General features: G+C 40.6%; 1 protein-coding gene across 2 annotated transcripts in view, besides 1 other annotated feature; it reads left to right on the forward strand.

The window, feature by feature from the left end:
* Positions 1-24,953, forward strand: part of NHS (NHS actin remodeling regulator) — a 360,795-nt gene that overhangs the window by 18,147 nt on the left and 317,695 nt on the right. The window lies entirely within an intron of this gene.
* Positions 16,282-16,823: an enhancer, noted in NCBI's record as "OCT4-NANOG hESC enhancer chrX:17427751-17428292 (GRCh37/hg19 assembly coordinates)". NCBI's record gives its function as "activates a minimal SCP1, AML or CMV promoter by ChIP-STARR-seq in naive H9 embryonic stem cells {active_cell/tissue: H9 hESC(naive)}" and the evidence as "EXISTENCE:reporter gene assay evidence [ECO:0000049][PMID:30033119]".

Raw genomic sequence — 24,953 nt, forward strand, 5'->3', positions numbered from 1 at the left:
TTAATAACAAAGTTCTGGTGCCTAAAATAGCGAAAACCCGATCTACTTAAAAGGAATCCCCCCAGCTTTAAAAAAACATTGGAGCATAGTTGTGGGGCCTTTTGATTCACAGACAGTGGCTCCTCACAAAGCCATGTTTCAAATCACTTGCAAACTCTGTGTAATTGGCGTTTGACATTGGAATCTTTATTGGCACTGCTTCAGCTCTTCCTCTGTGAGGAGAATCCTCTTGGATTTTCAAATTGCATCCTTTCCTTGGGGAAACAGTGGAGGAGGAAGAGTGATGAGTTCTCTAATCACTTGGTTGGATTAGCCTTAGAGTTATCGGGAGTTGCCTTCTGTAAGTGCCCCTACTATCAAGGTTTCATGGAAAATCTAGGCAAGGCAGAACTTCCTCAGAAGGACAAGAGACAAAGAAGTGGGGAGGCCCTCCTATCCATAGCTGAGAGGGTTTATTCTTGTGGTTCTGCTGTCAGAGCCTTGGATGTCTGATCTGAGATGGAGCAACCCCAGCTAGACAGAACTTTGTAGATTTGGGGGTTTAAAAGGCCTCAAGCAAATTCTAAAACTTTCTTTGAACCCCCTGGCATAGGCTCAGTTTCCCTGACTCCGTTGCTGAGTTTGAAATACTGGACTCAATGAATAGTACGACATTCCGCCCCCCCACCGCACCCTCAGCCCCACAGGGTCCCTCACTGTTTGGTTTGAAATGACCATGATTGGAGAATTGAGGGGTGAATGTTTTAGTCTGAGCCTTTCCCTTCAAGCATATCAGGAATATCTGAAACATCTTTGAGGCCAAAGCAGACCGAAGGCTGCCTTGTGTTTTGATTGAACGTTTAGTTCACTTTGGGCTTGAGGTGTGTGATGCCTTTACAGTTAAGTCTGAAAAAATGGTCGTGAAAAGCCCCTGGGGGACCTGGCTGCTGAGTGACACACAGCTGGGCCTTTGAAAGTGGGCTTTTATGATAAATTTGAACATGGTTTTAGACCTTACTATAAGTGCTTCAATTTTTTTCCCCTAACTACAGAATAAGTGAGCTGATTTTTCCATGAGGGAATTGCTTTGGAACATTAACCAAGATTTTCTTCAAATATAGAGGTGACTATGTAATTTGCTTGTGCCTTTTAAAAACTGATGGAGGCCTAGTGAGGCATCTCTGTGAAGTCAGAAGTTAGACAAGGGATGCTTTTCTTCACTTGCCAGGTGTGGAATGCAAATGAGCTTCATGCAGAATAAGAGGCCTTTAAAAATCCAGGTTGCCTTTGAGGACCTGGTAACTCTTGTTTCGATCCACTGCTTCTCCCAGGTTGCCTATCTTTTCTGTAGGTGACAGCTAAGACCATGGCCTACACTTTGTTTTCCTTCAACCCCCTAACTTCTTCCTATGGCCAACCCCACCCCCAGTTTTTGGAAGATCGCTGATTTTTTGTCTTAGATGACTGAGTGTTATCAACAGGATTCTAAATGTGTTGAGGCAGATACGAAACAAATTCACACATACCACCCCGACATTTCGTGTGTGACTGCCTTCTGCTAGTACAATGTCACGTTATTTCACAAGCCCCTCAAAATTCTGTGATGGAAATATTATAATATTCTTTTGATAGATGAGGAAATGAAGGCTCCACTAGTGGCTTTAAGACCACAGTGTTAAAAAATTGTCTGGTCTTGGATTCAAATGTGGTTCTTGCATCTTCAGTTTGGGCACCTCCTCTGCTCTACCCTGCTTCTCTCTGTCAGCCTACTACTCTTCCTCCCATCACCACCACCTTATGGCCACTGAGGTGACATTCTCCCTCCCAGTTTATGATGGAGAAACAGAGGCAAAGAAAAAAAAAAAAGACATGAGGACAATATCCAGGTGCAACTTTGAATACTCAAAAGGGCTGGGATTAGAACATCTAAGCAAAAAGGCTCATGAATCAAGAGGTACTTCTGGTGCAGCCAGAGCAGGCATACAACTGGGTTATAAGTTAACACGTGTATTTGGGTGAGGCTGTGGCTGTATGTCTGGTTCTAATTAGTTGCTTAGTTTTCCCCCAAAATAAATAGGAACATGCTGATTGTCTAAAATAAGTCATTCACTATAGCAGGAGTCATTTTATATATCAAGGCCTTTACTATCTAAAGCCAAAACATTCACCTCATGGACACACAAGTTTCTTTTCTAGCTCAGTGGTCACCCTTTTGTATTCTCTAAGGTTGCTTGAAGGCTGGTGTAAATGAACTGTGGGGGACCCCAATTCAGGAACGAATCAACCCAAATTATAATAGATTGCCATTTTTTTCATTTATTCAGATAGGCCAAGATGAAAAAATGATAATGGTCAAGTTTGGGGTGGGCATAAGGGTAATTTTAGACACTACTGATGGAACAATAAATTAGTATACTTTTTCTGGTAGGCAGTTGGCATACACAAAAAGCTGTATGCCAAAGATGTTATTTCAGAATTTGATCTAAGAAAATAATTGCAAAAGTAAATAACAGAAAATAATATATAAACACTTCAGTGCTGCTTATAAGTAAGAAATATTGGAAATATCCTAAATGATTAACAATAGAAAATTGGCTGAACAAACAACATTACTGTGCATTGGTATAGCAAACAACATTACAACTCATTGGTACAGTGAAATACTTTATCACCATTAAAATGATTATACAAATGGATATTTATTAGCCCAGAAATATGTTTATGATACATTCCAAAGTTAAAATGACTTGTTACCAAATACTGTGCATTTTATTGCATGTTTATTAAGAAGATATAAGAATACAGGAAAAAATCTCTGGAAGGGTATATACCAAATCAGTATTTTAAAAACATATTTTGATCATGATCCACTATGAGAAATACATTTTACATTTGTGAGTCAGTAGACACATGTAGCTGAAACAATAGTTTATTAACAATACTTGTATTTTCTTGTGTGGTACGTTCTGATATATTTATTTATTTATTTTCTCTTTTTTACCGTATTATCCTATCCTTTCCTTTCTTACCCTATTCTACTTTATTCTAATTCTATTTCTTTTCTCTTCTCCTTTCTTTTGTTTCATTTTTTAAAATGCTAGTCATGACCTATTAAGTTGATTTTATGATCTCCTAATGAGCCACAAACCACAGTTTGAAAAACTGCTCTCAAATGTTAACAGTAGTTATGTCTAGCAGGTGGTAAATAACTCTGTTTTGTGAGGAGACAAGATTACTGTGACTTCTCTGTGTTACTTATATGATCCAAAAACTAATGAAAATTTGAAAAATGGTATAATAATTCCATTTATAAACAAAGTGATGCCCACAGCTTTTTAGGAAGATACTGATTGTATAAAGTAAGATGCCTACTCTGCTCTACAGTTATTGGGCACTCAGAATGTTCTGGGAACTTTAAAGAACATTATGGCAGGAAAAATATATCCACTGAGACACATAGTTTAAATAATAGAACAATAAGAAAATACAACATGACTTTACATATTCAAACTCAAAAGATCATCAGGCATCCATACATATTGCTTTACCCCAGCAATGTTGCATCATGTCTATGGGATTTATTTCTATTTCTGATCCAGATTGCATTTTTTTTCATACTCATTCCCCACCTTAAAAAAAAAGCTACTAAATTCACCAGACTTCTTTCTGGCCAGATTATCTTGGCTTACAGTACTGTTGAAGTTAGCCTCTTTTAAAGCTAAAGATAAGTTTAAATGGAAGGTAGTCATTAAAAACTTAGATCAGGAAGCAAAAGCTTTAAAGGAGGATGGGAAGAATCTCTGGCTAGAGCCAGTACACTTCCCTATGGGCTTCCTGCTTTCAGCACAGAGCTGGAAATCTGCAGAACAACCCCAGGAGCCCCTCCCGGCATGGCCACACAACCAACCGGGTGGCATGTTAAGTGAGCTTTCCCTGGGTCTTCTCTGGGAAAACCTTGATGAATAACAAATTCCACAGAAATGATGCAACATCACTGGGGTAAAGTGATGTGTATTGGTGCTTGGTGATCTTCTGAGTTTGAAGGTGTAATATTATGTTTTATTTTCTTGTTCTTTGGGCACCATGAGCTAACTGCCCATGAGGGAGGGTGATCTGCTGGGTTGTGGTTGGGGAGAGGCTGGCTGGCATTTTCAGGGAAAGAGTATGGAGAGAGATGCTTCCTGCCTTTGAAAGGAATTAATGATAGGAGATAACCGGGGTTGCTTTTCACGATGTAGTAATTTAGTTACTTTTCTTTCAGACTTTATGCTGAGAGTAACTTGGCGTTGCTAAAAATGTAATTTGGAGCCCTGGCCTTCTGCTCATGGAGAAGGCTAAGTTCATCCTACCTTTGAAACATTGTGAATAACATATCAAAGTTATTCATGTGCTCATTGATTTATTCATTGATTATGCAATAACTATCCATTCATGTGGTTGTTTGCTCATCCATTCATCCATCCATCTATCTATCCATCCATCCACCCATTTTTCCAGGTATCCATTTACATGGTATTTCTTGGCTAGATGCTGTGTGTTGAGGGATGTGGTAATCACTGGGGTGGGAGAAGGGACTCCATAAGGAAGAAGCTGTCTGTGTAGTTGAGTTGTTCACTGTCTGGTGAAGCAGATAGGCAAGTAAACAAATAATTGCCACAAAGAGTGGGCAGTGATACAAAAGGGACCAACCTGTCTTGATTCATGTGAAACTACTTCTCCTCTTCAGGCCTACAATCATGGAATGTTAACCTGAGAGAGGCCTTAGAGAAACTGAAGAAGATAATGTTTTCCAGACTTTATCTCAAGATCCCTGAGGTGCCATTCCAGGGTGTGAAGGTGGGAGTAGGAGAGAGGAATGAGAGGAAAGCTGAACAGAAGTTCTGGAGCTTTCTCCAGAACCAGAACAGATTCCTTTTCATCTATTTCATATATTGAGGTTGCTTGTAACCTATCATTTGAGGAAAAGGGTTGGCTGTTTAATAATAATTGCAAAGCACTTGACCAGTCCCCCATCTTTCCTTGTTTCTCTTGTTTAAAGATCGAGACTCAAAAATGTAAAGTGATTGGCTCAAAGTTGTAAAATCAGCATGTGAACAATCCAGGAATAAGACTTGGTCTTCTAACTTCATGTGGACATTGCCTCTGTATCAGTTAGCTTTTGCTGTGTAACAAATAACCCTAAAAATCAGTGGCTTTAAACAACCACTGTTTACTTAGCCCATAATTCTATGAGTTGGCAATTTGGGCTGGACTCAGCTGGGTAGCTCTTCTAGTTTCAGCTGGGCTTGTTCTTGTCTGTGATGAGTTACTGGTTGGCTGGCAAGTCACCTGAGAACTGACTGGTCTAAAGTGGTCTTACCTCTCAGGGTTGGCTGGGTGTTGGCCAGAGTAATTGGGTTACTGAGTTGATAGTCTCTCTTCTTTAGCAGAATTTCAACAGAGCAGGGAAGCATGCACAGCCTCTTGAGGCCCAGGCTTAGGGCTGGTCAAAGCAAATCACGAGACCAGTTAACACTTAGGGAGTGAAGAAATAGACTCTACTTCTTGACTGGAGAATTTCAAGGTTTTTGGACACAAGGAGAGGAGAATTGTTGCCTTTTTTGCTATCTACCACAAGAATACTAAGTTATTGCTATATCTTTTCTTCTTAATTTGGACATTGGAAAAATACATGTTTGAAACGCTATCTAATTCCAAAGCCATTTTTACAAGGATCTGAAAGCATGGCTCTTTCTATAGACCATGGGGATTCCTGCCTACTTGAGTTTTCTCTTTTTTCTTTTCTTTTTTTTTTCAGACAAGGTCTTGCTCTGTTGCCCAGGCCGGAGTGCAGTGGTACTATCTCAGCTTACTGCGACCTCCACCTCCCGGGTTCAAGTGATTCTCCTGCCTCAGCCTCCTGAGTAGCTGGGATTACAGGTGCACACCACCACGGCTGGCTAATTTTTGTATTTTTAGTAGAGACAGGGTTTCACCATGTTGGCCAGGCTAGTCTAGAACTCCTGACCTCAAGTGATCCACCCGCCGTGGCCTCCCAAAGTGCTGGAATTACAGGCGTGAGCCACCATGCCCGACCCCTACTTGAGTTTTCAAATTGTTTATATTTGAGACAGGTGATAGTTACTGCTTGTGGTAAGGGACACTGTACCCTAAGAACATTCCTGCTTTACTCCCAGTCACAGTCTTTCCATCAACAACTCTTCCTATGGAAAGGAACCTTCAGCTCTTGATTCTGTTAGGTGTCTCTGAGGGATAAATTTATCCTCATCATTTCCACAAACATTTATTGTTGAGTGACTCTTACGTATCATGCACCTCTCTAGATATTGAAGATACAAATAAGTCTAAGATAGACCCCTAACTTCAGGTAACTCACAGTCTGGCAGGGAAGGAAGAAAGATACGGATTGTTACAGTGAAATAAGATGGGGAAGATGGCTGGAAATTGAATTTTTTCAGTGGTCATTGTTTTCTTTGTAATAAGAAGGTGTGGTTGTATGATCACCCAAATGGATGTAGGAATGGCATTTGACAAAATTCAGATCTTTTCATGACAAAAACACTTAACAAACTAGGAGTAGAAGGGAATTTCCTCAATCTGATGAAGTACATCTATGAAAGACTTACAGCTGACATCATACTTAACAGTGAAAGATTGAATGCTTTCCCCCTAAGATTGGAAACAAGACAGGCTGTCCATTCTTGCCAATTATATTTAATATTATGCTGCAGATTCTAGCCAGAGCAATTGGAAGAAAAAGAAATAAAGGCATCCAATTGGAAAAGCAGAAGTAAAAGCATCTTTACTCACAGATGACATAATCTTGTATGTAGAAAATTCTAAGGAATCCACAAAAATTATTAGAACTAATAAATGAGTTTAGGAAGCTTTTAGGATACAAGATCAATACACAAAATTCAACTGTATTCTATACACTAGCAATGAACAATCAGAAAAAGAAATTAAGAAAACAATTCTAAGGCCAGGTGTGGTGGCTCATGCCTGTAATCCCAGCACTCTGGGAGGCTGAAGTGGGTGGATTACGAGGTCAGGATTTCGAGACCAGCCTGGCCAAGATGATGAAACCTCGTCTCTACTAAAAATACAAAAATTAGCTGGGTGCAGTGGCAGACGCCTGTAATCCCAGCTACTTGGGAAGCTGAGGCAGGAGAATCACTTGAACCCGGGAAGCAGAGGTTGCAGTGAGCCCAGATTGTGCCACTGCACTGTAGCTTGGGTGACAGAGCAAGACTCCATGTCAAAAAGAAAAAAAAAAAGAGAGAGAATGAGAAGAAAACAATTCTATTTACAATAGCATCAAAAATAATAAGATATTTAGGAATTAATTTAACAAAAAAAGTGCAAGACTCATGCACTGAAAAACATCAAAGTTCATTGAAGGAACATAAAGAAGATTAAATAAATAGAAAGACATCTTGCGTTCGCGGATCAGAAGATTCAACGTTTGCGAGATGGCTATACTCCCTAAATCAATATACAGATTCAATGCAATCCATATCAAAATCCCAGCTGACTTTTTTGCAGTAATTGACAAAGTGATCCTAAAATTAATGTGGAAAGGGAAGGAACCCAAAATAGCCAAAAAACAGTCTTGAAAAAGAAGGACAAAGTGGGAGAACTCACACTTCCCAGTTTTGAAACTTATTACAAAACTACAGTAATCAAGACAGTGTGGAGCTGGTGTAAGGATGCAGATATAGATCAATGGAACAGAGTCAAAACTCCAGAAATAAGTTTTTACATTTATGATCAGTTGATTATCGATAAGGGTGCCAAGACAATTCAATGGGGGGAAACAATAGTCTTTTCAACAAATGGTGCTGGGACAGCTGAATATCCACATGCAAAAGAATGAGGTTGGGCCCCCTCCTTATATCATCACAACATTTAACTCAAAAGCAGTCATAGCTTTAAACTTAAGAGTTAAAACTATAAAGCTCTTATAAGCAAAGTAAGTCTTTATGACCTTGGATAGGGCAATTAATTCTTAGATATGAATCTTACAGTACAAGTGACAAAAGAAAAAATAAATAGGACTTCATAGAAATAAAGAACTTTGTCCTTCAAAGGATGCCATAAACAAAGTGAAAAGTCAACCCACAAAATGGGAGAAAGTATTTGCAGGTCATTTACCTGAAAAGGCACTTTGTATTAGTTTCCTAGGGCTGCTGTGACTACTTACCACAAACTGGGGTGGCATAAGACAACAGAAGTTAATTTTCTCATTTCAGGAGGCTGGAAGTCCAAAATCATGGTGTTAACAAGGCCATGCTCTCTCTGAAGGTTTTATGAAAGAATCCTTCCTTGCCTGTCTCTTGTCTTCTGGTGGTTGCCAGAAATTCTTGGTGTTCCTTGGCTTTCAGACATATGATTACATTCTGTCTCCATCTTTGCATGGTGCTGTCTTCTCAGTGTGTCTTTACATGGCCTTATTATAAGGATAACAGTCATTGGAGCTAGGGCTCACCCTAATCCAGTGTGTCCTTATCTTAAATTGATTACATCTGCAAAGACCCTATTACCAAGTGAGGTCATATTCACAAGTACTGGGGATTGGACTTTAACATATCATTTCAAGGTGCACAATTCAACCCATAACAGGCTTGTATCCAGAATACATAAAGAAAGTATATAACTCAACAATAAAAAGACAACCTAATTTTTTAAGTGGGCAAAAGATTTGAATAGATATTACTCCAAAGAAGACATAAAAATGGCCATAAGCACATGAAAAGATGCTCAACATCACTAGTCACCAAGGCAATGCAAATCAAAACCACAACGAGATACCACATCATCATACCCATTGGGAAGGATAAAATAAAAAAGGCAGACAATAGTAAGTGTTGGTGAGAATCTGAAGAAATTGGAACCGTTATACATTGCTGGGGAACAGTTTGGCAGTTCCTCAAGATGTTAAATGTAGAGTTACCATATGACTCAACAAATTCACTCCTAAATATATATACAAGAGATCTGAAAACATATTCTCACACAAAAACATGTACATTGCTGATCATAGCAGCACTATTCATAGTAGGCAAAATGTTGAAATAGTACAGATGTCCATCAACCAATGAATGGATAAAGAAAATGTGGGATATCCATGCAATAAAACATTGTCAATAAAAAGGTGACTAAAGGCAATAAAGATTATTGATACATGCTACAACATGGATGACCTTTGAAAACATGCTAAGTGAAAGAACACATTTGCATGATCTTAATGATATGAAATATCCAGAACAGATAAATTTATAGACAGAGAGTAGATTAGTGGTTGTCTAGGGCTGGGAAGAAGGGAATGGGAAGTGACTGCTAATGAGTATGGAGTTTCTTTTAGGGGTGATGAAAATATTCTAAAATTAGATAGTGATAATGGTTGTGCAACTCCGTGAATATACCAAAAACCATCAAATTACACATTTTAAAGAGTGAATTTCATCTCAATAAAGCTGTTAAAAAATAAGATGATGTCCTTTACCAAGAGTAGAGGGTATTAGGGGGCTTGAGGAAAATGTTGAAGATTTGAAATTCCCATTCAAAAGAATAAGAGAGGGAGCTGTTTTAGTCATATTAGGCTAGCTACTGTAATAAACAGACTCCAACTTTCAGTGGCTGAACACAAGAAAACTTTATTTCTCTCATACAGTTGTCTGATCTTGGTCAGGTGACCATCCTCAATGGCTCTCCTCCAAATAGTGACTCAGGGACCCAGGTTCTTTCCATCTTTTGTCTCTGCTATCTTTTTGGTCCTTGGTCTTTTGGATCTTTAGGTCCTGGGCCTCCCCACCCATATGCTGGATGGGGAAAGAGAATGGAGGATTGAACCTGGGAGGGTTTTATGGAACAGGCCTGGAGGTAACTTTCTTTACTTCCACTCACATTCTTTTGGCCAGAACTCAGTCACATGGCCACACCTAACTGCAGGAGAGATTGGCACATACAGTCTACTTATGTGTCCAGGAGGAAAAGATAAACAGGTTTGCTGAACAGCTAGCCAGCTTCTGCTACAAGGGCTGACCAAGGACAAAGAACGATTGCAGGCTCCAAGCCCAGCTTGAGGTGGCATGTTTTCGTGGCTGAGAGCAGGGCTGGATCATTTTCTCCCACTGTTCTTGGTGGAACATTCATAGGTTGAAAGTACTACTATGGGGCACATTCCTGCTGGTAAATGTAGCCCAGTCTCCACCAGTAATATCTGGTGATGGAATAAACACTAGAGCAACCTTGAACACTTTGGCATCTCACCCACAGAATGAGAAATGTAGCCATGCTGTCCACACTGTCATTCAAAGGGGAGCAGGAGATGAATGTGGGAAATAAACTGCTATTTCTTTGCACTTGGACAAGGGTTGAATAAAAATAAGACTCTGTCCCCTTTTAAGGTTGTGCTTTAAATAGAAATCTGCCCCAGGCCCTTCTTGATCTTTTTTTTCCTGGCTCCCTCTCTCTTAGTGTCCTTCACTCCTGGCCACATCTGCTCCTTTGTGGCTGAGGGGCCTGAGTTCTCCTTGGGAACCAGATTGCCTGGTGGATCCCTCAGATTGAAGCCCCCTCCCCACTTACCTTTTCATAAGTTTCTAGTGCTACCCGGACAGGTGCAGCTATTTTAGTTATATTTCTATAGTGGTTGTGCCTGCCCTTCTAGACAGCTGCCACTTGTCTTTCTGACAGACTGTTTGCTTGTGTGTGGCTGCTAATGCTGTAGTAAAAATCACCTCGCTGTCCTGTCCTTGTTTTCAGAGGCACTTGTCTCTTGGTGTAATGCTGGATGTTTAATGGGCATTGTTTATAAGGAGTATAAGACGGAATAGTATAGCCTCTTGCTTTGTGTCGTAATTCCCTCTGGGCTTACTGAAAAGGATGCTGGGAGTTAGGCCAGGCTGGCAGGAAGAGGGATATAAATTAGAAAGGGAGGGAGCACCAGGGCCAGAGAGAAGTGATTCTGTTAAGAGTGGGCCCTCAGAAAAGGTGGCCAAAGGTCTAAATAACAATGACCAAAGTGTGCAGTAAGGAGGGTGGGATCCGGGTTGGTGTCAATGTCTAAGAGTCTGAAGCACTATATTGGTTTCTGGAAGAGATTTTCAACTGGTGAGTATGTTTGCCTTGCCTTATTCTCCCCTAATCCATTCTCTACACTCCTGCAGAGTGAAATCTTGCAAGGTACAATTCCTAGTTCACATTCTTCCATGGCTTCTTATAATAATATCTAAATGAACTGGTTTTCAAGACCATATGAGCCTGGTCCCAGCCTCTCTCCAGCCTAATCTCTCCTTCTGCCTCCCTAGATTCATTGCCATGGCCCCAGTTCTAAGATTCTTCTGTTTCCTTCTTATACGCCAAGCTCTCTAGCACCTCATACAGCTCCCTCTGGTCCCAACTTTGATACCACTTTTTTCCTGGTAGCTTTCCTGACTAACCCTCCCCATTGAGTTAGTTGCCCGTAACACTCTGTCTCTCTCTCTCTCTCTCTCTCTCTCTCCGTGGCAATTATCTCACTCTATTGCAATTACCTGCTCATTTTTGTGCTCTTCCACTAAACTGGAAACTTCATAGGATCAGGGACCATGACTTAGTCCACTTTGTACTCCCAATTCTATAGTCAGAATAGGCTAATTTCTGTAATAAAGAACCCCAAAAGTCTCAGTATCTGAAGACAACAGAAGTTTTATGTCTTACCCACATGGAATTCAATGTGGGTGTTCAGTAGATAACCTTCTACACTGTTATTCGGCAATTAGGCCCCTTTCATTTTGTAGTTTTCTTATCTCCTAGGGCTGTCCTCTCTTTCCAAGCCTGCATCTGACAGACAGATGGAAGAAGAGGGAATGGAGAATTGTATAGGAAGGTTTTTAATGGGCTCTGCCTGGAAGTTGGGTACTAAACCCCCACTCATATTCCATTGGCTGGAACTCAGCCATATGACTGCATATACCTGCAGGAGCTGCTGGAAAATGTCATCTAGCCATGAGCAGGCTTGGTGAGCAAGTAGTGGGTCTCTGCATGCCACCAGTTAGTGCCTGCCTGGAATGTGGTAGGAGCTGAGTGAATATTTGTTGAATGAGTGAACTTTGGATTCTAGGTTTCATCTTGATTCTTAGGTGATTCAGTTTAATCATCAGGAGGGACATGTGATGACTAATCACAGTGGATTTCAGGGCTCTGGGCACCTTGGAAGGGTTACGGATAATGATAGAGAGAAGAGTAGTGCTGCCTAAGAGTCCAGCTCCCAGTGAGGTGCTTTCCTTCAAATCCAACAGGGAAAGAGATTTTTAAAAATTAATCTTGAATTTTCATTTTTTGGAGAGGACAAAGGAGGAGGTAACAGAGAAGAGGAGTGAGGACTGCTTCCTGGATTTTGTAGACTGTGACAGTGTCAGCTTTTTCCACACGTGCCTCGTAGGTTGATGGAAGCAGTGTGTGACATGCTGGTGCATGCACCCAGCTGCCTGTCCCTCCCCTGCCTGAGAGAGAACAGGTGTGTAATAGCACACGTGACGTGTCCACTCTCTGTTTCACAGTTAGAGCATCCCTGAGGCCATGCTTCCTCAACTGAAACATCCACTCAGGCTTCACCCACAATCCAGTTCCCTATGGGTGGAAGAGAACTCATTCCCCAGGTGGGTAGGCAGAAGCAAGAGAACCACGTTGTGAGAGCTAGCATGGACCAACAATTTAGTTTGAAAATTTGCCTCCAAAGACAACTTCTGGATGAGCTGGGATATAATAACTTCTTATCGTGGGTGGCTCTTCAGAATTTTCTAAAGCACTTTCCCACACCTTATCTCATTTCATCCTTGTAACAACATGGTGAGGTAAGAAAGCCAAGAGTTATTATGTCAGTCTTACAGATGATAAAACCGAGGCTCAAAGTAGCTCAGACGACTTTCCCAAGACCACGTGGCTGCTTTTCCTCTCCTGCCATTTCCACCCCAAACCCCCTTGTCCACATTGGTAAAGTAGTTTCTAGAAGATGTCCTCTTAGTTTGCAGTCAGGGAGACTGGAAAATATGTCTCATGACTGACCTTATCCCTCAACACTGGCCATTTATTTTCCTGTCTAAACAAGCGGGTCTGCAAGAAGCTACCACAAAATCCTCCCCTATGTTTACATCTCTGTGAGCTGTGGATCCATGCCTTCCAGTGTCCCCTTCGATTGTTGGTGGAGAAAACCAAGACAGCTAAAATGTTTCCCAGGTTGCAGCACCACACATCTCAGCTAGTTACAGCAGTGTCTAGGTGGAGTTGTGCCATGGGACTCTTTTTCATTAAAACAAAACAAAACAAAACAAAACACCACGGAGCTAGGATGTTTTAATAAATGTCTGTGTGTGCGCTTGCTAGGACACACTACTGTTGCACTCTCAGGAATCATTAACGCTGTCTCCCAACCTTACTCAGACAGAAAGCTGACGTTACCTTGCCATCCTACCTAATTAAAGATGAAGGCTATAGTTTCCCCAGTCTATTATAGTCTAGTTTCTGTATTTTGCCATTGCAGAGGAAGAGGGAGAAGCTAAAGGTTGACTGTGATGTGGGAGGATGCAGCCAGGGGCAAAGAGGGTGAGGATGAGTTGCTTACCTCACAGAACCTAACACCAAATTTTTAGCATCAAAATCCTAACAGCAGAAAGAAAGTTTCCCTGTGGAAGAAGGACTGGGCCATGTCAATTCCCAAACCTTCCATCCTTCCTTCCTCCCAACGGCTCAGGTATACCTGAGAAACCTACATCTGCTGGCATCATCTCCCATGCATTGTTTTTGCAGAAGCAGAGCATGACCGACATCTAATAATATCTATGTTGGTATCTGTCTCAGCAAATCCTTTCTGTATTAAAAGATTAATGTAGTAAATCCAGAGTTACAGGGAGATTGTGGTGTTTCCTCTTCTGGTGTCAGAGTGTTGTTTTTTTAATACTATATTTTGTTTTCCTTTTTCACCCTCCCTTCTCATCCCTATAAACCATATTTTGAAGCCCTTCTCCAATTGCTTGATTTTCCTAATAGTAATAAAAAGCCTAGACAGTTTGGATGGCATCTGTACCACCTCTTTTAGGGATTATAACCCAATTTTTCTCCAACAGTGAACTTATGGGTCTTTTATGATCTGGCTTTAGGTCTCTTGAATGAGGCTGACATGAGGATGTAAGGCTTGAATCATAAGATTTTAGGAAAGGCTCTGAAAAGCAAGCTCTTTCTGAGGAGTGTTGATTTTTTTTGGGGGAAGATTATTTTGCCAGTGTTCAGGTAAGAATTCACATTTGCTTCTGTTACTAGTCATGATAGCTGAATGGTGTGCTTCATTCAGATACTGTGTAGTGATCACTTACTTTGAATTGCATATTAAGACATGTGACCATATAACCTTTTATTTGAACCAAGCAATTTACATGGTGGAGCTGAAGATTGGTTGTTACTGGTTCATTTTTAGTGAGCACTGACTGTTTCTAAGACTCTATCTTGGTCAGACTCTCTCTTGAGGTCTCCCAGGGTAAGTCAGCCAGACTGAGAGTGACCCAAGAAGATGGGGCAACATTCTGAAGAAAATAGAAAATAGTGCTGTCATGTGGTGAAGAGGCCAGGGAGCATTTGTTTCCCCATGCCCCTACCCACCCCGTTATTTATTGATTCTGCTCATAACGTAACAGTATATGTATTTTTGTTGTTGTTGTTGTTGTTGGAGACAGGGTCTCACTGTCACCCAGGCTGGAGTACAGTGATGTGATCTCCTCTCACTGCAACCTCCACCTCCTGGACTCAGTCCTCCTACCTCAGCCTCTCTAGTAGCTGGGAATACAGGCATGTGCCACCATACCTGGCTAATTTTTGTATTTTTTGTAGAGATGGGGTTTTGCCATGTTGCCCAGGCTGGACTTGAACTCCTGGGCTCAAGCGACTCTCCCACCTCGGCCTCCCAAAGTTCTGGGGTTACAGGCATGAGCCACTGTACCTGCCTGAACAGTATATGCACCTCTATAAAGAATGATCAGATGATCAATATTAATGTATTGCTTGATTCAACTCCCAGCGTGATGTTTAATAGCACATGGTGGGTGCTCAGTAGATGTTTGTGGTATTGAAGCAATGTGTTTATTCTATGTGTTTTCCACTAGATTATGAGTTCTTTGGAGTCAGGGCCCATGTGTCCTTTGTCTTTGTGTCCCCAGCCCCATCCCCAGTGCCCAGTACATAAGGAGTATTTGTTGAGCTCCCACAAAACAACATCCGTCTGTCAAGGATTGTTCAAATCCCTCCTTCCAACTTGTTCTCCCTTCTCCCTTAGGATAAGCTCTTTTCTTTTATTCTAGTGCCTCAGCCCTGAGAGAATTTTTTTTCCAAGTAATTACCAACTCATGTCATCGGATGCCCATTTGACTAGTCCCAGTATGTATTAGTCTACTAGGGCTGCCATAGAAAGTACCATAGATTAGACTATTTAAACAACAGAAATTAATTCCTCATGGTTCTGGAGGCTGAGAAGTCCAAGATCAAGGTGACTGCCAATTCAGTTTCTGGTGAGGGCCCTTTTCTTGTCTTGTAGATAACTGCGTTCTTGCTGTATCCTCACATGTTAGACAGAGAGAGGGAGAAACCGACGGAGAGAGGAGAGAGAGAGAGAGAGAGAGAGAGCAAGGGAGCATACAGGCTCCCTGGTGTCTCTTCTGATAAAGATGCTAATTCACCTGGATCAGAGCTCCACCCTCATGAACTTGTTTAACCTTAATCACTTCCTTAGAGCCCCCGTCTCCAAATACAGCCCCACTGGGGGTTAGGGCTTCAGCATATGAAATTTGGGTACAAACAATCAGTTCATAACACAAGGTACTTGTTGCCCACTGTAACATCTGCTGTTTCCCGAACAAGACAAAGGTGATGATAATTAAACATGGTACTAGACTATTCATGTTAAAAAGCATAGTACTGTGTGTGAAGCATCTTAAATGAGTCAGGCAGGAGCACTTAATGAAAATCTATGGTCAATTGAACATAGGTTTACTGTGCCCTTGTCTTTTCCTTCCATTATGTTTTTTTTTTTTTTTTAAATTACTATTCCATGGGGATTCTCCTAAGCTTGTCAATTACAGACAGGTGCTCTTGTTTTGGAGCCAGAGCAGCAGTTGTAAAAAGGTGAAACTGGAAGGTCAGGATAAGCTGGGTTATGCCATGACAATAAACATCTCCCAAATCTCAATGGCTCATATAACAAATGTTTCTTTCTCCCCTACGCTACATGTCTAAGGGGTGTCACCAGGGGTGCTCTGTTAGTTGTAATTGTTCTTGGATCTGGACTGATGGAGGCTTCATTCTGACACGTGTCACAAAGGAGAATATAGTAAATTGTATACTGGCTCCAAAGTTTTCACCTAGAAGTGCCACATACCACTTTTGCTCATCCTTCATTGGCTAAAGCAAGTCACATGGCCACATCCAACCTCAAAGAAGTAGGTGAAACAATCTTACTAAGAAGGAGGAGAGCTAAAGCTTTCCTTTGGCAAATGGCACTGATTAATACTATAATGGGGTAATAATGAGGCCTAGGTAAACAGGGTAGGACTTGAGCAAAACTTGTGGCACAAATGAGAAATTTTATGTACTTAATGCTTTTTTAGAAAAATGCTGCTTCCAAAACAGCTCTAACATCCAGGATTTCTTGCCTAGCCAGTATTTCTGTGCCTAGAGTGAGATTCAGAGAATGAAACCCTTTTTTACTGAGATCCTGAGAGTTGCCTTTCAAGTGTCCATAGAGTATAAATAACAATAGCCTCAAAGAAACAATTAAAGGCTCTCCGGGTGGCTTATCTCAGATCCACTGAGAAATGAAAACCCCCAAACATGCCAGAACACTAAAAAAATGGCTGTGTCTGAGGGTGGTCTCCTTGTCATGATAAAGCTTTCTCCTCATCCTTCTGAAAATGATACCACCCTCATGTTAGCAACAGTATCGCTGTCTGGAAAGGGGCTGGCTGAATCTGGTGGGATTACTTTGAGTTGCATAAACACAGATTGAATTAAGCATGGCGAGTTGATGATGGGGAGTGTAGAAAGAGTCAGGACCTTGCGTTGGGATAATAACTAGTTCATTATCTGCCCAGATAAAGGTCGTACAGGCTTTTAGCAACAGCATGGAAAGGAAACCAGATTGACCTTTCTGACGGCAACTCTCTGCTTTTTTTTTTTTTTTTTTTTTCCAGACCTTAGAACACCAGTGAGTAAAGAAATCCGTGTCCCTCCTGACACCTTTCCTTTCCCTTTCCTGGCGTTCCCAAAATGCAGGCCTTCATTTCCATTGGTTTTGAAATGGCTGCCTTTGTTTAAATTACTTATAATAGAACGTTCCTGGAAAACTCTCACATAAGCCCATGAGCAGATGTTAGTATCTTATATGCCTCCAATTTTATATGCTATATCACACCTCTTCCTTGCTCCAAAATTTTGCCTTTGCATCAAAAAAGGCAAAAATCCTATTATTTAGTCAAAGGAAACTTCTGCTTCTTGGGCTATATCTTCCAAATTTCTTTAAAAGAGCTCATTATGAATCATTTGGAAGGAGCCAGCACACCATATTGTCTTTGTGTGAAACTTAGAAAGCAGTGTGGTGTGGGTGGAGATACGTCCAACTATAAAGAGAAATTATAGTTACAAGTGGCTTTCAAGACATTAAGGATATTTTGGAGTCCTAAATTAAGCAATGGCAGGTTAATCTTTTCCCAAGAGGTGGTGATTTTGGCTAAGTATCATAAAAGGGTTATCCCAATGTTTTCAACGTGGTTTCAAGTGAATGATCATCTCTTATTCATTTTTCATAATCATTTTAATATGCCACATATGTTCCAAAATGGGTTGGCAAATTTATTTTCTTTCTGCTACCTTAGAAATCTTGTCAATAAAATGAAGCCTAGTAATATGGATTTCTTACGTAGCTATAATTTTTCTTTGTGAGGGAGTTAAGATGTGTACTTCAGTAAGAGGAATGGGCTGTGTTGAATGCCAGATCATAATGAGGCCTCCTGGCGCCAATAAATTACACTTGCTCTAGGTTGACTAGCCATGGAATGAGGTCATGTATCCTTGATCCAGATCATGAATGTGACAGCCTGCATCTACATACAGTATAACCCAATCCTTGCTACCGTACTATATTTCATCACAGTCTGTGTCACCTTCAGGGCGTGGGTTTGACAGAAGATGACAGTAGTGATGCATATTATGCTCAATCCTTAGCCTCAAACAGCAAAAGGCCTTACATTTAGATTTTTTTTAAAAAAAGAAGACAATTTTATATCACCTACAGATAATTAACAGGCTCTGTGTGAAAAATGAAATTAGAAATATTGAACTTAGAAATAGAGGAAAAAATGAAATATTCCTTGAAATATATCCAGGTAGTGTAGAATAACCCATGACCATATTCTGTAAGATTTTCCTTTTCCTGGCTCCCTACCCTATGTTTATATTCACCCCAAATGCACTTTTAATCACAGCTTTTTCTCCATGAGCAAGTAATTTTTTTTGAAATAAGATAATCTGTTTTGTAAGGGGTAAGTGATTGTTTTATCCAGGAAAGATGTATTTCACAATGGTATTAGAATTATGTGTAGTTTCATACTTTTGGTAACAGGAGATTTTTAGATGAATGTTCAGCCACCCCTGATTATTTATATAGCTCCCTGAAGTTTGCAGTGACATAGAATGAAGTGATAAAGAATGATGGTAAATGTCATTATGGTGTTAAGTGTATCTTTTCATATGAAATAGTGAGAAAAGCCTTGTGCATATATGAAGCTCTTGAACTATGGATGAGTAACATTAGTGTGGCTCCATTTCAATGATATTTATATACTTAAATAATGTATTCTTTTATAATATATATTATATATTAAGATAATATATATGTATTCTATCATCATATCAAGAACATAGCTCAAAAATGTTTTCAAAGAAATTGAGATTGAAAACAAGCGTTGCTGGGTGCAGTGGCTCATGCCTGTAATCCCAGCACTTTGGGAGGTCGAGGCCGGCAGATCAGTTGAACCCAGGAGTTCAAGACCAGCCTGGGCAACATGGCAAAACCCCGTCTCTACTAAAAATAAGAAAAAATCAGCTGGGTGTGGTGGCATGCACCTGTAGTCCCAGCTACTCAGGAGGCTGGGGTGGGAGAATCACCTGAGCCCAGGAAGTCAAGGCTGCAGTGAGCTGTGATCACGTCACTGCACTCCAGCCTGGTCAATGGGAGTGAGACCCTGTCTTAAGAAGAAAGAGAGAGAGAGAGAGAAAACAAAGGCAGCAATTATGCTAAGTCTCAAAAGTTCCTTTTAACTGAATGCTTAGTGTGTCCTGATATTTAACATCACTTTCCAATAATCTGAAAAAAAGTCTAGTGCTTGTTGACTCAAACTTGAACAATGTTTGCATGCTGACTGATGTGTGAGTCAGAAGGTATCCATTATCTTAATCAAAGATTCACAATTTTTTTTCTGTAAAGATCCAGAGGGTAAATATCTTGAGCATTGCAGATCATGAAGTCTCTGTCATAGCTCTTTGTCACTGAGTGCGAAAGCAGCCATAGACAATACGTAAATGAGTGAGCATGGCTGTGTTCCAATGAAAGTTTATAAAAAACAGGTGGTGGGTCAATTTGGCTTGTGGGCTGAAGTTTGTCAGCCTCCGATCTTAACTATGAAGCTTTTAAACTTAGCCTAATTGAAAAACGATTTCCATATGGCACCTAGTAGAATATGTGACTACCTGTGTATTTAGCGCTTGTGTGTGTGTGCGTGCACACACGCACACACATACACACAAGAATGAAGGTTTACATGCCTTTTTGAGATCAGTCTGGAAAAACTCCTGTACATGTAATTTTGTCTTACAGTCAATAAATATGTTCCATTTTCTAAATAAATAGTCCGATTCTCTGTGGGATTGTGGCTACCTTATCCAATTAAAGTTTATGTAGCGTTGTCATTGTTATCATTTCTCCTCTCAAGTTCATTGCATCATGATCATATGGGTTGCTTAATTATTACTCTTTAGTGGTGATGATGCTATTCACATGGACTTTTTTAATGTGGGCTGTGCAAGTTGCTTTTGTTATGAGTCATTCTCTCTTGATGTCATTAGCTGTTTTAAACTAGGCATTAATTGAAATGAAACCACAAGCTTGGTTAGATTGATTAATCGTTTCAGAACCTATTCAAAATACTTTTCTTTCTTCCCAGAAAAAGAAACTATAGTCATTTGCCCAGAAATGGGAGAGAATCATGCTTTTCCAAAGGCGAAGACTGTTTGTTTTGAAAAGTGGATTTATTGGGATGATAAATCTGGCTTGTACTATCTGCTCACCTGTTTGTCCTCGGGGGAGCTATCACTCTATTAATCCTTTTACACTGGAAATGTTGAAATGATAGACAGTTTCAAAAGTTGCACCCCCAAAAAAAGCAGATAAACATAAACAAATCTTACTCTTCTACTTTGGATATGCTTTGAATCAGCATGCTGGGGCACTTCCTTATAAGAGGAAGGCAATTAAACAAGAGCTTTGGTCTTTTGTAACCAGGTCCTGCCTTGTATTTGGGAAGCTCTGTCGTATAGAGAATCAGGCTGCAGGTCTTACCTTCTAAACTCTCAGCTTTAACTTTTCTTTCCTGTTTTTTATTTTTTTTCAAAGAAATAACTGATCTTTCCACATCTAAACTGCAGGTGCAGACAGGCACACAAAATGACACTGTCCCAAGGTCCAGGCTACTTCTTCTGGACATTTGATCTGCCAGGTCAAATTTCCAGGAGGACTGGCCCAGACAATGTCAAGATGAGAATTTCTTCCCTTACTGCTTTCTGTGCAATTGATTGCAGCATCTCTGCAAAACCACTGACATTCTCTTAACCTTAGTTTGCTTTTTTGTGAAATGAGTGAATCCCAGTACAAGGCAGCAGCAAACAAAGGTGTAAAAATCACCTGAGGCAGGAAGGCCAGAAACGAATCCCGGTGGCTTGAGGTACAGTTGTGCATTCATAAATTCCATCAGCATGTTTGGTCATGAATGTCAGTGTGACATTTCAGTCATTTAAATCATTGACGATCATGTACTTTTATGTGCAATTTGCTTCTAAAAATATGTGGGCTTTCCAGGCTTTTATTTCATAATGTTCCCTCCCTCCCCCGTCTCCGCGCCAGTGAAACAATTAGGTAATATGTTTTAGAGAATGCCTCTTCTTAGCTTGGGCCTGTTTTCTCTAAGACGTTACTAGCAGTTTGCTCATTAGCAGTGACAAGGAAATGGCACCAGAGATGCTTTCCTGAGAGGTCTCCCTGCACTGGGACCTGGAAGGTGAGCCACTGGGTGGCTGAGACCCTGGGAGTTTTAGCATGACGGCAAAGGGGAACAAGAATTTTCCTAGCCTATGATGTTTTCAAGTATCCACTCTGAAAACGATGAATTAGATGAATTCTACTTTAGGATAGGCAACACAGAGAGAAAGACAGACAGACCTTCCCCCTCCTTGCCCCCTTCCACAGAGGCAGAGGAAAGAAAGATTAGAGGCAGAGCAGCAAGGGTTCAAGAATGGAGGACAGAAAGGCAGAAGAGAAAATGGTGAGGCTGCAGTTCTCTGTTGCCCTTGGCAACACTGCATGGGGGCGGGGGTTGGCTGGTATCTTGGTACTGAGCCTGCCCTGCCCTGCCCCGGGAGGTTGTGGGATATCACATAGGGGTGGAGACCTCGCTGGGGACAGCTGAGCAGATGACAAGTCTGCACCAAGAACAAGCAAATGTTCTCTGCCGGGACACTGGCTCTATCTGTCTGGCTCCTTCCAGGACCTTTTGAACTTGTTCCCTGGGACACGGTATAGCCCGCTTGTGGCTCCTCTAGATATTTGTTTTTCCTAAGTGCATTGATCTATCAGAGTAAAAACTAGCCAAAAATAAGAATGGGGAATGAATCAATCCTCTGGACTCCTCTCTCCTCTGTGTTCCCGAGTCTCAATGGTATCAGATGGCCAGTTGCAAACATTTACTTCTGACTGAGTGCCCTGATTTCTTTAGTCTCTTATCTTCTCCCCTTCCCTCCCTCATTTCCTTATCCCTTTTCCCCTCTGCCCTCCTCTCTCCACAGCTTTGGTAAGAAATAGCCAGCCTTGAATTCAAGCATAATTGCTCGGCAGGGGGGACTTCCTTGAAAAAACCTCAAATTTTTGGGCTGTAACAGTGGAAATCTGTTTGAACCCTTGAACTTCCTTTATTGTTGAAATGACCACCTACAGAAACATGCTGGGGGAAAGTAGCAGAAGCACAGTGGTCCCTTTTATGGGAAAAACAGTAGCTGGAATTATTTCACTTTTGCAAGAATTCTGTAATGAGGAGGCATTTCTGAAGGGAGAGTATGGCACAAACATTCCACAAGTTGGAGATGTCTGGACTGAGATTGGGATATTGTAATAATCGATGTTTCTGGGCTTAGAAACAGAGTCTTCATTCTTTTTTTGACCACAAGCATAAAAGCTGGTAACTGTAGCATTTCTGTCTACTTTTGTTGCCATTTGCATGGGCTCGCTCTGGGTACTGGAGATTTTCAGGCACACAAGCTGCAATAGAAAGGCGGCTGGTATTTGCCTCTTAGAAAGTAAAGTTGGCATGCTATGATTTGTATTTTCCAACCAACAGGCTGTGTGGACTTTTTCCTCGGTTCACTCAGGCACCAGGATATCTTCCATTTATGGATGCCCTGTTCACTCAGTGTGCCAGAGAGGGCTTGTGCATGGGTGGACATACACTGATAAATCTGGGAAGTCGTTGCTTTCAGTCTCTCTCTCACCCTCATCCTCTCTCCACCCTACCCCCCAACGTTTTCATCTTAAACCAAAAATCAGAGTATGCCATTTATCTGCTTAACAAATGCCTATAACCCTCACCTATACAAGATAAAGTTCAAACTCCTTAGCAAGGTGTAGGTCTGAACCCAGCTCACTTTTCCCAACTCATCTCTTTACACTTCCCTGCTTCCCCTGGACTCCAGCACATGTGATGTGCAGGTCTCCAGATCTACCATGTTTATTTCACTTCATTGCATGTGCTGTTGCTCCTGCTGCTTAAAATACCTTTTCTTCTCTTTTTCACTGCAAACAACTCCTACTCAGACTTCCAAGCACAAGTGAAATATAACTTCCTCTGTGAAGTCTTCCCTAACTTCATCTGCTCACTCCATCCACTTTGCTGCTAAAATGTTTTCATATTTACAGATATTTCTCTTAACAGTACTTACTGCATGGGACTGTAATCAAATGTTACATGCCTGTTGCAGTCTGCTGCAAGCCTGGTGAGGGCCGGGGCCATATGGTATTCTGTTTTGGATTCTTAGGGCCCAGCATAGCACCTGGCATCTAGTAAGTGTTCAGTAAATATTTTCTGAATGAGTGGTTGGGATCCATTAGGAAAATGTAGGAGTATGTGTGTGTGTGTGTGTGTGTGTGTGTGAGAGAGAGAGAGAGAGAGAGAGACAAACTAGGGAGTGCGTGTTTTGAGTTGGAAGGCAGTTACTGCGATTGGTGTAAATTGTTATCTAGTTACAAAAGAGTCATAGTTTTCTTTCAATGAGCCTTGTAAAAGGGGGTGTTCTCTTCAAGAAATAGAAAGATAATTACATTCACCCTCTTTATTACCCTTCTGGACAAACACTTCAATATTGTTATGTGATGACACAATGCTTCTGTATTTGTGGGTCTGTGTGAATTTAAGAAAACAGAATACACACACACACACACACACACACACACAGAGTCTGAGTTTCAAAGACACAAAAACTAAGATTTTTTTTTAAATTGAAGTATTGCATACCAGGGTCAGAAATTTTTTTTCTGTAAAGGACCAGATAGTAAATACTTTAGGCTTTGTGGGACATTTAGTCTTTGTCACAGCTACTCAAAGTCTGCTGTTGTAAAGAAAAAGCAGCCATAGACAATATGTAATTTACAAGAACATATTTTTTAAAAGGTTTTTTAAAATTAACATACAAACTCTCTACATTTAAATAGTGAACATTCAGTAATGATTTTATCTGAAAAATTATTCTTTTCCTGAAACCTTTTCAATTATATAAACCATGTTAGGGTAGATAAGCAGAGCAGCAGGAGCAAATGCACTAAGATTGGGTGATTGCATCAGAACCACTTTGGTTTCATGTCATCATGTCAACCACAAAACTTGTGATAAAACTCTTCCACCTGCAAAAAGTAAAACAAAATGCAATATAAAATCCAAGTTTTTAGCAATAATTTTACTAACTTATGGCCTTCAGGGTCCATTTTGTCATTTACAGTGATTAATCATTGGCTTATCTGAGAAAGAAATTTTTTCTGCATTACTGTTCCTTATTGGCATTGTGTTAATCAGACCAATCCTAATTGGGCATTAAAGACATGTTCATAGAAGTTACAGTGTGGTCAAGATATCTGCATATTCTGTAGAATGTTCTGTGAACAGTCTAGTGACTTACATTTGGATGAGAAATAAAAGACCACGGATTTTGTGTGTCAATGTTGTACCTTTGGTTAATTTTGCTATTTTCCATTTTGTCGGTGATGGCTTCCATTTGCAGCCACATTTGGAGATGCCTCATTTTAAGCAACTCAGGTCAGGATTATGCTTGACACCCAAGAGCATGTTCATGAAAGAACTTCAAAAATTGCAAAGTCCTGGAAAAGCATAGGCTTCATTTTTATTATTTATCATGAAGCTGCTCAAATCTCCTCTTAAGCATGAAGCCTGATATTTTCACTGCAGAATATTTGGAAGGTGCTGTCCTTGTCCATCAAGGACTCTTTCCAACAAAACCAAGTAGCAAGACATTAATGCAAAAAGAGAAGGTAAACAATGAGCTAGATGGCAAATGTATGTGTGAATGCCTTAATGTTATGAGAGAGCAAGATGGTGCATTCAGAGAACTCATTCATTCTC

The sequence above is a fragment of the Homo sapiens genome, chromosome X, assembly GCF_000001405.40.
Source record: "Homo sapiens chromosome X, GRCh38.p14 Primary Assembly".
Lineage (NCBI taxonomy): Eukaryota > Metazoa > Chordata > Mammalia > Primates > Hominidae > Homo > Homo sapiens.